The sequence below is a fragment of the Homo sapiens genome, chromosome 7 (genome assembly GCF_000001405.40).
Source record: "Homo sapiens chromosome 7, GRCh38.p14 Primary Assembly".
Lineage (NCBI taxonomy): Eukaryota > Metazoa > Chordata > Mammalia > Primates > Hominidae > Homo > Homo sapiens.
In genome coordinates, this window is record NC_000007.14 from 50,433,952 (window position 1) to 50,451,020 (window position 17,069).

Below are 17,069 nucleotides of genomic sequence, written 5' to 3' on the forward strand. Positions count from 1 at the left end.
AATGAAAGTGAGCATGTAAAACACCTGATGATCATTTATTAATACAAAGTCATCTATCTACCTCAAGTATTAAACAGGCATAACACAAACAGTAAATTAAAAGGCAATGTTAGAAACACATTATTTTGTGAGTTTCAAACTTCAGTATCAACAACTTCAGGGACATTTTTCAATAAAAACATCTATCAATAATAGCACTATTCCAAGCTTTCTATTTTTTTATAGCCTTATGTTCTTTTGCTCTTCAATATGTAGTACTTCTAAATTATTTGTAACTATTAATAAAATATTACTTTTTAAACTTTTCCTCTGAAAATAATTTTATGGTATGATTTGCACCACATGAGTTTAGATAATGGAATGAGCCTGAACTGCAGCAAAATGCCTAACAATGAAGGCTAAGAGTTTTTAAAGATCAGTGTCCAAATCTGTGGCAATGTTGGGGTAACAGGATGTGAGGCTCTTAAGGAGCAGAAGCCAGTCTGTTTCTGTGAAGCACCAGATTCTCAACTTTTACCTTAAAGGTATAAAAATTAAATTATTTTGCAGTTCAAAAGGCTGCCTGCAGATATACCGCACAGAGTTGTAAGGGAAACAGCCTTAATTACAGACATGGTCACGGATGCTATACTGGTCTAGATCTGCCCTGTCCAACGTGGCGGCCTCTGGTCTCATGTGACTGAGCGCTTGAACTATGGTGAGGTGGAACTGAGATGTGCTTTAAATGCAAAATATACACCAGATTTCAAAGACTCAATACGAAGAAGAAAAATTTATATAAAGTATCTCATAAACAATTCTTATATTGATTACATGTTGAAATAGGATATTAATTTCACCTGGTTCCTTTTACTATTTTAATATGGCTACCAGGTTTAAAATTTCATATGTGGTTCTCATTATTCAGAGGTAATATGTTAATTATCATTTTCTTGGAGTTCCAATAATTGTCTTGGCAACATCTGTGACAGTTCCAGGTCTGCCTAGTTTAATTCAGTCCAAAGGATTTCAGCAGTAATTTGCTGAAAACAGGAGGGAGTATCCTCTCTTTAATGAGACAAATGTCTACTGAAGTCATTTTCATGGCAAAATGGTAGCTGCCTTTTTTTGATTTAGTTATTATCATATGTTCCAACTTCATGATAGGGCTCAGTAATGGGAGCAGTGGCTGAATTTCTGAGTCTGGATTTACTTTGTTTTTGTACCATATTATTCCTGTTTTTCTAACTACTCAGAGCCCTTGCAGTTGATAAATTACACTAAACTACTCCTGTGCTCCATAGATATATTACTCTAAAATCCTGACTTCTTATTGTTATTGTTGTCCTCTATGAAGAGTAACATCCAAGCCTCCTGACAATATCATCCTTTTAGGAAAAAATGTGATCTTATTGTTTGCTTAGTCACTGTTCTAAAAGATTAGTGGATGTGCTCATTTTGGCAGTACATATACTAAAATTGGAATGATACAGAGAAGATTAGCATGGCCTCTGAGCAAGGATGACATGCAAATTCATGAAGTATTCCATATAAAAATACTCTAAAAATAAAAAAATAGGCCGGGCACAGTGGCTTACGCCTGTAATCCCAGCACTTTGGGAGGCCGAGGCGGGCGGATGACGAGGTCAGGAGATCTAGACCATCCTGGCTAACACGGTGAAACCCCGTCTCTACTAAAAATACAAAAAAATAGCCAGGCTTGGTGGCAGGCATCTGCAGTCCCAACTACTCGGGAGACAGGCAGGAGAATGGCGTGAACCCAGGAGGCGGAGCTTGCAGTGAGCCAATATCACACCACTGCACTCCAGCCTGGGCAACAGAGCGGGACTCTGTCTCAAAAAATAAATAAAAATAAATACATAAATTTTAAAAATATTAGTGGATAAAGCACATGGCTTGAGTAGGGTTCCCTGCAATGTCCTCACCCCATGGCCTTCTGACTGCCTTCTGCCCTTGCTGTTATGTGGCCAGAGCCTGACACACCCCAACCCACCCCACAGGCTTCACTTCAAACACCCTGTGCCTGCCATGGGCCCCACCTGTCAGCCTCAATGCCCCAGTCCTAAGCCTGAACCTACATACTTTCTCTCAACATCAAGACTTACCCGAATATATGCCAAACTCCCTCAAACAAAACATAACACAATAAAATGTGAGCAGCTGCTTTATTTTTCTTATCTTTTATCCGTTTGTTGAAATCTTCTGGAATTTTAGTTTTGCATTTTTTTAATGTTATGTTTTTATTTCAGGAATTCATTTTAACAGTTGTATTAAACTGTGCAACTACATTGTCAAAAATTATTTAGACTTAATTAGTCACAGGGTTTGCTGGTTCCTTTGCTCATGGTGGCTTGGCATGGACTATAGCTTCCCTTTTGCTAACTTCCTTATCCTGATTCATTTCTCATTTGCCTAAGGCATCCTTCAGGGGACTTTTCCTCTTTCTTTCCCAGAAAGAATATATGATAATTTGGGGGTCCACTGTATCTAAACAAGAATTTACTGTAGTCGCCCATTTGACATCTTAGATCTACAATTCTAATCTCAAAATTATTTGCCCCCAGAACTTTGTGAGCACTGTTTTATTATTATTATTTTCTTTTTAGAGACAGGGTCTCACTCTGTCACCCAGGCTGGAATGCAGTGGTGCAATCATGACTCACTGCAGCCTTGAATTCCCAGGCTCAAGTGATTCTCTTACCTCAGCCTCCCGAGTCTCTGGGATTACAAGCATATGCCACCATACTCAGCTAATTTTTTTTTTTTTTTGTAGAGATGGGTGTCTCACTATGTTGCCCAGGCTGGTCTCAAACTCCTGGCCTTTAGTGATCCTCTCACCTTGGCCTCCCAAAGTGTTGGGATTACAGGCGTGAGCCACTGCACTCAGCCCCGTTACTTTCCAGCATTTAATGTTATTTGACACTTTAGTTGACACTCTGATTCTTAGTCTTTTATAGATTGCCTATTTGGTTGTGCTCTCTTGCTCTCTTTCCCCAGAGACTTTACCAAGGTATGTCTCAGTCCATCCCCAATTCTTGCTTAACACTGTTTAGAGAAAACTCCCTCTAACCGCACTTTTCCTCTACTCTCACACAACAATCATCAACACAGAAGACTTCTGTGATCAAATATGGGTTAATTCCCCATACACCCATCAGCAGACACCAGCTGCATGTCCTCTAATTCAATTCCAACACTATTTACCTAGAGATGGTGTCAGATCCCACAGGCTGAGGGGTCAGTCCCCAAGACTGCCCCTCCACACCAGTCGCCAAGTCCGGGCCTTCAGAACTTCTGACCAACCAGCTTCAAAGTTCCCATGACCCCTTCTTTGGGTTCAATAAATTTGCAGAAGCAGTTCATACAACTCAGGGAAACACTTAGTTCACCAGTTTATTGCTCTATACTGGAAAAAATACAGACGAAGAAACGCTAGGGCAAGGTATGGGGGAAGAGGCTTGAAGCTTCCATGCCCTACCTGGGCACACCACTCTCCCGGAACCTCCACATGTTCAGCTATTGGGAAGCTCTCTGAACCCTGTCCTCTTGGAATTTTGAGTCTTAAGACCCACAATCAGAAAGGTGGGAGAATATTAGAGTGGAAGGAGGGCAGAACACCAGAGGCCTACCTGAGGCCTAACACATCCAACATTATAACAAGACTGTGTAAGGGCTGTGGGAGTTATGAGCCAAAGAACCCTGGATGAAAAACCTACATATATATATAACACCACACACTCAGTAGATGCTTTTGATATGAACTATGTATTTCACTCAGAAGAATTATCTGCTCTCAATAATGCAATTATCATCTACCTCTCTCCTTTTTACTTTCTATAGATTCCCCATTATATGGATATTAGTTACCTGGAATCTGTCATACTACTTAACTCCTCACTCTAGCTCTGTCTGCTGAAGATTGTAAAATAATTCCACAGCTTATTCTTCCTTTTAACTATCTTGTTTCAGCCCTTTCCATTTTAAAAATTCAGTTCTTCCACTAAGATTTTTATTTTAACCATTAGAATTCTTGTTTCCTGGGCCTTTATTTCACAGCTGTGATAGATTCTGAAGCAGGCTCCATGATCCCTACCTCCTGGTAGTTGTCATTTTTAATACCCTTCCCTAAGAGTGGGAAGGACCTGTGTCTTGCTCTCACCCTACAGAATACAGCAAAGATGACAAAGTGTTGCCTGTGTGATTACATTACAGAAGATAGTAACATCTGTGCTACTGGAAAGGCTCTCTCCCCTGCCGGCTTTGAGGAAGCAAGCAGCCACACTGGAATGCCTACATGGCAAGGAACTGAGGGCAACCTCCAGCCAACAGATGGCAAGAACTGAGGCCCTCTGTCCAGCCATCTGTAAGAAACTGAATGTTGCCCAACCACCATGTGAGCTGAGAAGTGGATCCTTCCCCAACAAGCCTCAGATGAGACCACAGTCCTGACCAACACCTTCATTGCAGCCCTGTGGGTCCCTGAAGCAGAGGACCCAGCTAAGCCTGAAAGAAACTACAAGGTCATTAATGTGTGTTGTTTAAAGTCACTAAGTTTGTGGTGATATTGTTATGTAACAATATACTAATACAATAGCTGCCTATTTTAATTTGGTGGCTACCATGTCTTCTGGGATCGAGACTTTCTAAAGCTCTACTCAGTCTCCTGAATCAATGGTTTTCTTTGATGGGAATCACTCTGCTTCTTCTCTGGGTGCCTCTCATGATGTTGGGTTTTTCAGAAGTCTCATGAATCTTGCATGGTTGTGAAGTGCACATAAAGTCCCTAGCTGTAAAGAACTTTCTAATGGGTGTGAAATAGGATTAGAGACAAAGACAGTAAGCATAAGTATTTTCAGTTAGTAACAGTTACCAATAAAAAATGTAGGATAATATGATAGTGATGGCATGCACGTGTTGGAAGTTAGTGGAGGCTATCTCCCCAGTGGTCAAAGGAGGTCTTGCTGGAGAAATTATATTTTACTAACTTGAAGCAGCAGCTGTAAGGAAGAGCTTTCCACACTCAAAGAACAGTGTAATGTTCCCTACCCCACATTGCTGCTGTAACAAACTACCATAAACTTAGCAGCTTAGAACCACACACAGTTATGACCCCACAGTTCTGTACATCAGAAGTATAGGAGTCTCTACCAGTTTCTCTGCTCTGGGTCCCATAAGACTGAAATCAAGGTGTCAGCCGGCCTGGATTCTCATCTGGAACCTCTGGGTGAGGCTTCCTGGCTTATTTAGGTTGCTGGCAGAATTCCCTTCTATGCAGTTCTAGGACTGACACCTCTGGTTTTTGTTGGCTATTGTCTGGAGGCTCCTGTCAGCTCCTAGAGACTTCTCTCCAGCCTTCGTGCATGGGCTCCTGATTCACAGAGCTGCAACTTCAGAGAAAATCCTTCTCATGCTCGGAATCTTGGACATCCTCTCTGCCACATCTTTCTTCTGCCTCTTTAGCCCTCCTCTTCTCTAACCAGCCAGAGAACATTCTCTGCTTTTAAGGACTTGTGAAATTAGATTGGCCCTACACAAATAATTCAAGATAACCTCCCTATCTGCAGGTCTGTAACCGCATTACCTCTGCAAAGTCCCTTCCCAGCAGTACCTAGATTTGACTGAATAAGCAGGGGATGGGTCTCTTGGAGGAACATCTTCAGAATTCTGCCTACCACACTTCCTATATGAGAAACATGTTTGTTGCACCTTAAGATCCAGTGGGATGAAGGAAAGTAAGAAAGGAGAGTGAAGAGAAATGATATTTGGCTCTAGGAAGGAATTTGGATTTTATTTTCATTTAGATGGGAATCTATTGGAGGATTTTTACAAGGGGAAGTAATGTTAAGTTATACTTTAAAAGTGATCAGTATGCTGACAGGAGAAAGCTTCCTTAGCAATTGTCTTTCATATTGCCCAGCCATGGATAGAGATGTGTTAACTGTGGCGTGAGCAAGACCTCCTCTATGTCTTGGCGTAAGCCTGCATGTGTCAGTGGCAAGGATATAGAGAAACTGTAGGAAGTGGGGGTCGACCCTTAAAAAAATGTGGAAGTAGGTAAAAAGTTACCGAGACAGGAGTGAGTTACATCAAGAAGTTCCACTGCTTCATCAAATACTTGTGCTTCTGTCTAACGTGGCAACCAAGTACCTGCCATCCTGACTCACTTCTCAGGCTGCAGGGCCCACAAAAGCCAGGCGACTGTAAATGACTCCCCCTGATTTAGGGAACTCCACTTCCCAGTGGTTCCACAAGAACAGTTGGGCATGAGCTCCGCAAGGCTTGTCTTGGCAATCCTTTCAGATACCAGACCACTGGCCCACAGCCTATTTTGCTGCCTAAGCTAGGGGTACAGCCCAGGCACTGCTGAGATAACCAATCTCATCTGGCATTTTCACAGCCATTATTTAGCTCAGGGATTCCAACAACCCAGTACCATTTGCCTTGTGACCTCCAGAAACACCTGTCATATTTGAAAATGGTAACCTTCTCTCTTTTCCAACATCACACTGGATTGATTCTTAGTGTGTATTTTTTCATTTCAATGAAAATTTTGCACATACGGGCAGGAAAGGTAAATTTGTGGCTTAGGCCACTATTTTAAATGGAAAGTTTGTTACTATACCTTTTATTATTAAGCTAATATATTCTTCTGGGGGAAAAAAAATGCTGGGGTAGTTTTTTCCTAGAAGCCTTTTAAGGGAAAGTTGAGCTGCATGCATTTCTTGGATACAAAGGTAAGGTGCAACTCTGACACTAAAGCATGAGACTACCAAGCGCTGATGGCTCCCTCTCTGGGACTGCATGGCTTCATCACACATGGGGATGAGAACTGGGGCCTGACAGTCCAGGGCAGTGAGTGAAGGTGAGCAAAGGAGGAGACAAGGCCTCTGCTCTGGACTCACTGACTGCACAGGTTGTTATAATATGGGAGTGCTTGCCCTCGCCATATCCGAGGAACCTGGGACTTAGCTACGTTTCCCCTGCCATCTCTACATTTCTGAGCAGAAATGGATTGAGAGAGCTCTAATAGCTGTGTTTCACTGGCCGTGGCAGGCCCTGTTGGTCAGCAGGCACACCGCTGCTTGTTGAGATGCCTGAGCCCAGCTGTCACAAAACACCAATGGCCCAAGTGCCCTTAACAACAGCATGTTGCCTTTATAAAACGCCACCTTATGTGGACTTCCTAATTTTTCTTTTTCTCTTAAGTGGTTATTATATATTAAGTGGTCCATTATGCTGACTTAACTCCTTAATAAAGCCCTCTCTTCATGTTTTCCCGTTGTTTTTATAATGAGCCAAATTAGTAATAAAGTTAGCCCTTACCTGACTATACTTTGTTTTGTACCTCCCAGTACCCAGCACCTGATACTGTGTAAGCAATTCTCAAATTCATAAATTTTTGGTAAGTGATAACAGAAATCTGGATGTGTTATTAAGGAATGACCAGTACAATTTCCCTTTATCACTAAAAAAACAAATCTTACGGAGTCTGTACAAACTCTCTAAGGTTAGAATCACTGGCAGTTTTCTAATGTCCATTTTAATGCTCTTTCCATTATAAGCCGTGTTGTAAAAGTATTTTTTAAGGGCAAGAGTTAAAAGTGGTGACTGCATCTTATCTATTCTCCCAAGACTCCCTCCATTCACCCAGGCTGCTGGGGCAAACCTTCAAGATGGCCTCACCTGCTTAAACTGTTTAAAATGTGCTCCCTCACCACCAGCTCCCCAACTAAGGTCAAGAACTAGGAATATAAGAAGGAAGTAAAAAGATGTTATCTTTATCCAACCTGTCCTTTTGCCATGGACCTTGATAGAATCCTTTCTTTTAATCAGATCCCTAAAGGTGGGCTGTAAAGTGTCCCTTAAAAAAACACTGGGAGAGTAAAAATGGAGACCAATAAATAACATATAAGCATGAGTAGAGAAAAATAATAATCTGGGACAGACCTTTAAAAAAGTTCTAAAGTGTAGAAAAGGAGAAACATAACTAAGAGATATTTCTTTGGAATTAGAATTTTTCCACAAAACTAAAGATAGATGGCATATGATCTCTAATAATATGATGCAAATACCACAAACACTAAGCAGAATGAGCTAGGACAACCACACAAAATAGCTGAAAAGATCCTTCACAGCAACAAGAGCAAAATCAAGGCAGATTCAAAGAAGAGGCACAATCATAAAACATGAACCAGGCCTTTTAAATCTGTATTTTACTATTTAATCCTCACTCTCCAACAAGACAGGTATAAACTATTCTCACTTTAGAATTGAGATTGAATAATTAAGTAACCAACAGTCACCAGTAAATGACAGAGCCAGAATTCAACAGGTCTATTTGGCTCCACAGCCCATGATCTTTAGACTATGATTCCATTAAGACCAGCTTGTCAATATGAAAGGCACACCTGAGAGATATTTTAGAATTGAGAAAATGAGTTAAAATTTCAGAAAATTAGAAATTTACCACAGAATGAATACATATCAAAAGGATCATATATTATTATTAGATGTATAATAAAGATTTAAGAAGGCCTGAAATCATAAATTAGAATTACCATATTCATATCAAAATTGTTAAGCATTAATACCATAACCAAGTGACATGTTTAGTAAAATGTGTATTTCTACTAAGGGAATGTAATTTTTGAAGACATTAAATATCAGGCTAGCATTCATGTTTCTGAAACAATAGCTAAAGACAGGGCAGTGCCACACTTGAGATAATTTAATCCAAGATTATTATATTCGATGAAGACAATCGCATGTGGCGAGAGTAAGCAATCTTAAAGTTTCAGTAAGCTTCCTATCCAACTGCTTCAGAAACACTCAAAATCACAAAGTGTTGAGACAAAGAAAGCTTCTCTGTGGTATAACGTAGAAACAACAGTTGACTCCCCAGCTCAAATTTTCTTTCCAGCTTTAAAATATCCTGACTATTCCTTTCAGGTTTAGATTCTTATTTAACAGAGTAGACCTTAATTCAGGAAAGACCATTTCTTGAGCTAACAAGAGAGACATGGGCTCTGCTTAATCCAAGATGAGCTAAACCAACTAGACTTTCTCTCCTTGTCACAATTTCTAAACTCCATAGAAAGAAGTGGCCCTGTGGCTGGTGATCAAGGGAGCTTAAAGTCAGGGCTGGCAGAAGCTGTAACTGAAAAAAACTGATAATAAATATTAAGACCAAATTTCAGAGCTAAATAAAACATTAACAGCTAGAGGGCAAATGCTGATAAATCTAAATAGCTAGACCCAAGAAGGTGGGAGTGATCTGCAATTAAACACCAAGAAAGAAAAACTAGAGAATTCCTTGACATCAATACCAAAGAAACCAAGTTTATAGTGCTGTTTATATAGAAATAGAAAGGGATAAAGACAGTAATGAATATTGTGGAATGTTTTAGGATGTTAAAAGATATAACTAAGAACTGAAGACAAGAAGTTTAACGTCCAAATTCTAATAAAAAAGGCCAGGCGTGGTGGCTCATGCCTGTAATCCCAACACTTCAGGAGGCTGAGGTGGGTGGATCGTTTGAGGCCAGGAGTTCGAGAGCAGCCTGGGCAACATGGTGAAACCCCATCTCGATTAAAAATACAAAAATTAGCTGGGTGTGGTGGTGCAAACCTGTGGTCTCAGCTACAAGGGAGACTGAGGCACAAGAATCACTGGAACCCAGGAGGCAGAGGTTGCAGTGAGCTGAGATCACACCACTGCACTCCAGCCTAGGCAACACAGCGAGACTGTTTCAAAATAACCAAAACAAAACAAAAAATGAATTCTAATGAAAGACAATCACATATTACAAAGGGAAAAACTAAAAATTGCAACAATCTTTTAACATAAAAACAGAAGGCAAACCAAGAATAAAAATTTAAACTATATACACAAACTGTCTAAATTCAACAACTAAAAGTGTTTCAATTTGTCATTTCAAATTGCACTGTTCACAAGAGAAAACATTAGAACTTAAATATAACCTCCACGAGACCAAGGATATTTGTGTTGTTCATTGCTCTACGTTCACTACCTTCAGTTTTTTGAATAAATGCAAAAAGAATGCCAACAAATACCAAAACTGCCTACTGCCCAATGCTGCCATAGCTCTGATTCAGTGCAGATGGAGTTTTACACAGGAACTACTTTTTCAAGAGGACAATTTAGAATGCAAGCCAAAAGCTTTAAAAAGTGCATATTCTTTAATCCAGGAATTACTCAAGAAATTTATACATTTTTTAAAAAGATCACCAAATGCATCCCACATAGTTCCTTTACAATAAACAAAAGATAAACAACCTAGCGTCCTGTCCTATATGCGCTCTACCAGATGACTCAATTATATTCCATCCATCCATGGAATCCTAGACAATCATAAAAGGACATTTATGTTAACATGGAAAGTGAAGATACGCTTTGAAGAATAGGCTACAAGAGAGAATACATTACACAATCCTACTGCTGTATAAAACAAAACATCTGGAAGAATCTATGCTTAAATATTAATAGTGTGTCCCGCAAAGTGGTAGGATAATAGTGACTTTTATTCTTTTTACTTATCTCTATTTTCTCATGTTTCTGTAATGAACATGTTTCATAAAACAAAATGGGTCTGTTATAAAAATCTGAAAACTTGTTTTTGAAAGAGAGCAGTATTACAGGCTGTAGTGTCAAATAAAATATTAATGTTAAATATCACACGCTCCCGTGAAAATAACCAACATTCTTAATTAACCTTTCAGTTCTGTGAATCTAATACTAGATCACACCTTGCTATTTCTGAAAATGTTAGTCCTGATAAAAATTAAAAACCATAAAAGAGGTAACAAATTGGCTGAAGAAAGTAAAAATTGGCACTTTAGCTTTGAGATCTTAAATCTACTTAAATAACACTAAGCAATACTTTGTCCAAATGTAAACCATTATACTAGCTGACATTAAGAATTATGTGGCCATCAGAAGGCACTTTCTTCAATAAAAGATGAATATTAATCAGACACAACTTTATATGTAATCTTCAACTAAAAAAAATTTGAGCTCACTTTTCATGTTATATAGCTTCAAGATAAAGACTTCTTAGAAACAAAAGTTCATTCTCACTTTGTTCAAATAGGCTTACGTATCAGGTAATCACTGGAAAGCAAAACTTACATTAACATACACTATGTCAATCAGATGTAAAATCTGTGCTATTATTTGAAGTACAGAACTTAGAATATATTCTTAAAAATACAATTAACACATCCCCAACTTTCTATGCTAAAAAATAAAGAAGACTGTACTACAGAGATGCCTTGATTCCAAGTATCCCACTTACTTTCCACAACCAAAAGTTTTGTTCCAGTTTTCATAAAGCTCTAAATCTTTTGGAGAAACACTAGGTCGCACAGTTCTAAAAGCATTTTCAAAATCAATGTAAGCTATGGGTCGAACTTGATCCGGTGTTATGGTAGCAATGTCAGCAGTTTGTAAACTGCGAATAGGACCAAGAGAAGCCTCCCTGCAAAGCTGTGTCATGTCTGCTCCTGAAAACGCATCAGACTGCTGTACAATCTGTTCAATTTCTTCTTCACTGAGGCAACACTGCTCTTTGGACATTAGATTAATTACTATCTGTTTCCTGGCTGAAGCTTCTGGGAGGGGAATATAAAGCCTTTTCACCAATCTTCTCCGGGCAGCCTCATCAATTTCTTGTGGCCGATTTGTTGCTCCCACCACTAGGATACGATCTTCAGAAGATGTTGTTGCTCCATCTAATTGAACTAAAAATTCTGTTTTTATCCTTCTAGAAGATTCATGCTCACCATCTCCCCGTTGAGATAACAAGGAATCAATTTCGTCAATAAATATCACAGCTGGTTGCTGACACCTTGCAACAGCAAACAATGCACGGACCATTTTCTCCCCCTCACCTACCCATTTAGAAGTTAAGGATGAAGCAGAGATGCTAAAGAATGTTGCCCCAGACTGACTAGCAATGCACTTGCCAATTAGAGTTTTACCAGTCCCAGGAGGACCAAAGAGCAAAATTCCTTTAGGGGGTCCCCTTAAACCAGTAAAGATGTCTGGCCTCAACATGGGCCACACAACTATTTCCTTTATGGTGGCTTTAGCAAATTCTACTCCTGCAATATCTTCCCAATTTACTGGAGGTCCATGATCCATAATCTCATTCATAATAAGTTCAATCATCTTTGGCTCCAAGTTCTTCAGACGCTCATCAACTGGATGTGCTGGTTCTGTAGGTCCTGCCCCATAAGGCTTACATTGCATTCCTCCATTCTGCTCTCCCCCATCTTGCTTGGGTATAGGAGGAACAAACTTTCCAAGTATCCCTCGGGATCTACTAGCTCCTAGAGACTTTTTTACACCACCATATGAAGACCCTGATGCACGCTGAGGTTGGTGGTACTTTTTTTGCTGATCTACCCATAATTGTTCTTTTGCAGTTTTAAATGTAGGCAGGCTGCTATCCTCCTTTGGGCCATTATCTTCTGTTTTACTACAAGCCTTATTCAGTATTGGATTGGAAAGTGCATCAATGGTGCCAGAACCATAAAAAGACTTCCTCTGTGGATTTTCACAGGCAGCAGGAAAACAAGACTGGTTAGATAAGAACACATTAAGTCCTATGTTTTCTTTTGCAGAGCTGTGATTTTCCTTTTTGACATTTCCAAACAATGGTGTGACATGGAATTTTGCAGTAGCTGACTCACCTACAGGTGCTGAGAATGTAGGACAAGTCCTAGCAGTGTTAGTCACCATAGGTGGCTGGGCATTCTGAAGGAGTTTCAAACGATTGCTCTCCGGGAAGTCTTGGGTCCGGTCTCGATCATGAGCTGAGTTAGGTAATGAGTCACTCTCTTGAGAACTACCACAAACACTAAATTTAGGAAGATCAAAGACAGTGGCCTCCTTATGGATTACCACTGATGCAAGAGCAGGTTCCAACAGAGAGTCTTTGAATTTTTTGCCAGCTTGCATCATCTTCTGTACACTACTCATTTTGAAAACATTATTTATTGACAATCCAGACTGCCACTTGTCACTATCTGTTTGTTGAGATCCTGCCAAAGTTAAAATGTTTTCTGCATAATTATTCAACCCAGATTCAACATTGTCAGAATCAATAATTGCAGAATATTTCTCTGCATATTTTTTGAACAGTTTGGTAGCACAGACCTGGGAAATCTCAGAGTTTGCCCATGCATACTGAATGCGTAATATCTGTGCACGGTATGCATCTGCCTTCGGTCCGGTACATATGCCAGATGTAATTGCGAAGTAATTCTTCTGCCATTCACTCAGGTGCACAGATCTAGAGCTGGAGGTCTGCATTTTAGAGGTTCTATAACAAACAATAAAAATGAAAATCAGTATGAAGGAAAACAAAGAAAATACTTTAAATGTAATTTTGAAACTTCTGCTAATCTGAAGGAAGGGACACTGGACTTTTTATTTATAATGTAGATTTATAAGGACAGGTTATAAGAGAAATATCTAGTTAACTATAGATTTCAAGTATTCAAGACATATCAATATGAAGTCTTCAAAATTAAGGACTTGATTAAATAATAATTTATATGAGTTAAATTGTTCTAGTTACATAATTTTATCTGTAGGGAAAGCATTCATAAGGTTTAAAATTAATTTTAAATTTTAAAAACAATGGAACTATAGATACATAAAGCAAAACAAAATAAACAAGAGGTTTAAGTCTGATCTATAAAACTAGGTGAATGAGCTTAAGTGAGCTTTTTACTATCACTGATGGTTTATTTTTATTTTATTATTATTTTTTTTTGAGACAGTGTCTCGCTCTGTCACCCAGGCTGCTGGAGGGCAGTGGCGCTCTCAGCTCACTGCAACCTCCACCTCGCGGGTTCAAGTGCTTCTCCTGCCCCAGCTTCCCAAGTAGCTGGGATTACAGGCACCTGCCACCACCCCTGGATAATTTTTATATTTTTAGTAGAGATGGGGTTTCGCCATGTTAGTCAGGCTGGTCTTGAACTCCTGACCTCAGGTAATCCACCCGCCTCAGCCTCCCAAAGTGCTGGGATTACAGGCGTGAGCTACCGCGCCCAGCTGGTTCTTCAGTTTTCTTATCTGCAAAGTGAGAGGAACCATTGGAAGAATCAAATCAAGCAATGACTATGAAAATAATCTGAAAACTATCATTATCCTTATCACACAAATGTACAAACCGAGGCTGAGAGACTTAAAGAACTTACTTGAGATCACACAGCCAGTTATGAATGGTATCAGAAATCGAACACAAGCAGTTTCACTCCAGGTACTGTGCACTTCTGCATGTACACAATGCTCCTTGATGCTGCTATCCTAGGTCACAGATTGAACAGCATGGATCACAAATTTAAACTATGGCATATTTAAATGGTTTTAATAACATTCATGAATAAGTTCATCACCCTAAACAGAATGCCCTAGAATATCTGTTTCCTAATTTCACATAATTATTAAAAAGTGAAACTGTTACAATAAATGAAATAAGAGAACAAGCTAGCCTACTAGGAAAATGCTTTTACTTTAGATTTCTTCTGTCAAGTTATTCGCATAAGCTTCCTCACATTGTTACCTTTAAACAGAACTATAGATGTATCATATTGCTAGATATATAGAATTTACTTACATATCCACAAGAAAAATTTATGAAAAATTTTTGTTTCCTAACAGTATTTCAATTAAATGAAAACCAAGAAACCCTACTTTAGGTTCAAGTATTTGAAATTTTGCCTTCCAAATTACTTGTAAGTACAACAGCCAGGTTTAATGCAGCTTTTATCTCCCATAATGCCTTACAAAGACATTTGTCACATTGTAAGTAGGTGTTCACAAATCTTTGTTTAAAAAACAATTAGAAAACTTAAGATCCAGAGCTTTAAAGACACTGTAATTTATTTAAAGCTGTAAAGCTAAATAAGCTAGAGTCAAAACTAGATCTGACCTCTTCTGTCAAGCAGTTCATCCTTTTTTTCACTATACCATTTTGATGTTAAACTCATTTATACAATACTAGAAATGAGAAACTGAAAGAAAGGTGACTCAGAAAACACTTGACACAAACTTTCACAATTAATATTATCATTCTCTTCCTCTCCATGGCTTCATTCCCCTTTATCATCTGTTATCCTGAAATTTCTACCATACCTCAGAGTTCTAGTCACTGTTCTCAGAATAAACCCCCTTCTCTTTTCCATCTTCACCTTTCCTTCAATATTCATCTTCCAAGTCTTACTTCTTCCTTTCAATTCAATCATTTAAATGGCAAATAAGGATAACCAAAAACTGGCCATCACCGATCAGTGACACAACCATTGTCTTGTTTACCATTTCCAAGTCAATTTAACCTTTATGGCCTTTCCTAGATCTAAAAAGTATGATTAATTAGCACTGTCATATGAACTGCATTTCAATCTTCTTTATTTTGCCAATGTTCTGATTATTTTAATAATGTCATTATCTGTCTTCCTAGACAGTTGGCTTCTGCAGGGAGGAATTGTTTTCCATTCCATTCACATTGTCTTAGTACCTAGAATACAGTGTCCTTTGGAATAATAGCTACTAAAATACTGACGGAGTGCCTACTCAGTACCAAGCACTGTGCAAGCCTTTCATAGGATTCTGTTCTTGATGCAAAACGGGAGTTAAGAGCACAGGGTCTGGAGCCAGGCTGCCTGCTTTCAAATCCTGGCTCTATCATCTGCCAGCAGTGACTGCAGGAAAATCTCTTAATGTCTTTCTGCCGGTTTTCACCTATAAAAGAAGCGCAGCAACATCACTGAGCTGACAAGGTATTTTAATTCTGCAAAGCACTAGACAGAGGACTCAGCACTTAGAAAATACTCTATAAAATACTGCTTCTTCTGATTCCTCACGATGACCCCTGAAAGGTATGAGCCCTTCTTTCTCATCACAGAGATTAAGAGCTTGCCTGGGTCACAGGGGAACTGACTGACCCCCGCTGTGGGCGCCCAGAGCCCCGCTGGGCCCAGTAAATGCCTGCGGTAAGCGGCCCCGCCCCCGGACAGGCTCTGCCAAAGGAAGCCGCCCGCAGACCTGGCCCCGAGCCTGCCGTCCACGCCGGGCCCCAGCTTCCTAATCCTGGATGAGTCTGGTTCTGGGCTAGCGGGTCAGCCACCCTCCCGCTAAGACAGAAGCAAAAGGGCACAGCCACTGCCTGGCTCCCGCCTCCCACGGCCTCCCGCGAAGTCACCGCCCCGCGACCCCCAGCATTCCAGAGGCACACGCCCGCCTCTCCCCTACGCCCCAACCCTGATGCTCCACAGGGGTCAGCAGCGCCCCTGCCCCGCCTCCCGTCACCGCATCCTACCTGCGGCTGGTGTGGGACGCTGGCAGCCTCCGAAAAGCGCGGGGACTGACGTGCGCCTGCGCGCTGCTGTCGCCCTCGGACTCGCGCCGTACGTGCGTGCGTGAGTGCGTGAGTGCGTGCGTGCGTGCGTTCGGCGCGCGGGGCGTGGGCGCGGCACCTGGGCCCGGGCACCGCCACCTAGGCCCTAGCTCCGACCAGTGGTGTTCTATAAACGCTTATTACATCATTGTGCATAGGCTTCATTTTTAAAAGTACTCCCAAATAAATACAAGGAGGCGATGGAAATTGAATGAAGATTCGAAGGATTCCCATAGAGCGTGGCTCACTTCCCCTCACCGGGACAGCGAGCGGCGGCTCACCTGGGAGAGCAAAGCGTGGCTCTCCTGCGCCCACCCGGGAGAGCAAACAATGGCTCACCTGCGCCCACCCGGGAGAGCAAGCGTGGCTCACCTGCGCCCACTCGGGAAAGCCAGCCGCCATCCTGTGCTGCAGGCAGGGAGCGGGCGGCGGGAGAGGAGCGGATCCACTTAGGTCAGCGGTTAAAACGTCGTTACAAGAGGCCACCCCGGCATCGCGGGGCCTGTGGCTGCGCCCCCTCTTGAATTCAGGCCTAGCACATCACCTCCGCCCCTCGCACCCTGCAGTCTGCGCTCCATACAGCACGTGAGCGGGTGCTCAGCAATGTTCCCTGGCTGAAAGAACCGCATAGAGTAGCATGCA

General features: G+C 40.8%; 1 protein-coding gene and 1 pseudogene across 21 annotated transcripts, besides 3 other annotated features; one reads left to right on the forward strand and one right to left on the reverse strand.

Annotated features, from left to right (window-relative positions):
* RNU6-1091P (RNA, U6 small nuclear 1091, pseudogene) lies at positions 1,429 to 1,535 on the forward strand (annotated as a pseudogene).
* Positions 10,182 to 16,399, reverse strand: FIGNL1 (fidgetin like 1). Of its 21 annotated transcripts, none has more exons than NM_001346559.3 (6): positions 16,350 to 16,399; positions 15,549 to 15,772; positions 14,230 to 14,338; positions 14,017 to 14,104; positions 13,181 to 13,346; positions 10,182 to 13,065 (listed from the first exon to the last, which is right to left on the reverse strand). In NM_001346559.3, exon 6 carries the CDS (start codon positions 13,001 to 13,003, stop codon positions 11,312 to 11,314), a length of 1,692 nt encoding a protein of 563 aa, NP_001333488.1. In that variant the 5' UTR covers positions 13,004 to 13,065; positions 13,181 to 13,346; positions 14,017 to 14,104; positions 14,230 to 14,338; positions 15,549 to 15,772; positions 16,350 to 16,399; the 3' UTR covers positions 10,182 to 11,311. The 21 variants fall into 21 exon arrangements, with proteins under 21 accessions (NP_001333488.1, NP_001333487.1, XP_024302633.1 ...); NM_001346558.3 differs by having other exon boundaries at positions 15,167 to 15,772; XM_024446865.2 differs by having other exon boundaries at positions 10,182 to 13,346; positions 15,628 to 15,772.
* Positions 12,400 to 13,599: an enhancer, noted in NCBI's record as "CDK7 strongly-dependent group 2 enhancer chr7:50514049-50515248 (GRCh37/hg19 assembly coordinates)". NCBI's record gives its function as "activates an origin of replication core promoter dependent on BRD2, BRD4, P300/CBP, MED14 and CDK7 cofactors, with strong dependence on CDK7, by STARR-seq in HCT116 cells {active_cell/tissue: HCT116}" and the evidence as "EXISTENCE:reporter gene assay evidence [ECO:0000049][PMID:35650434]".
* Positions 15,920 to 16,214: a silencer, noted in NCBI's record as "tiled region #9826; HepG2 Repressive DNase matched - State 1:Tss, and K562 Repressive non-DNase unmatched - State 1:Tss". NCBI's record gives its function as "represses a minimal TATA promoter and a strong SV40 promoter by Sharpr-MPRA in HepG2 and K562 cells {active_cell/tissue: HepG2 | K562}" and the evidence as "EXISTENCE:reporter gene assay evidence [ECO:0000049][PMID:27701403]".
* Positions 16,356 to 16,545: a silencer, noted in NCBI's record as "silent region_18183". NCBI's record gives its function as "represses an Ori minimal core promoter by ATAC-STARR-seq in GM12878 lymphoblastoid cells {active_cell/tissue: GM12878}" and the evidence as "EXISTENCE:reporter gene assay evidence [ECO:0000049][PMID:35858748]".

Coding starts and splice junctions, on each gene's coding strand:
- FIGNL1 (NM_001287495.3), bottom strand. CDS start 13,336: ATGCAGACCTCCAGCTCTAGATCTGTGCACCTGAGTGAATGGCAGAAG.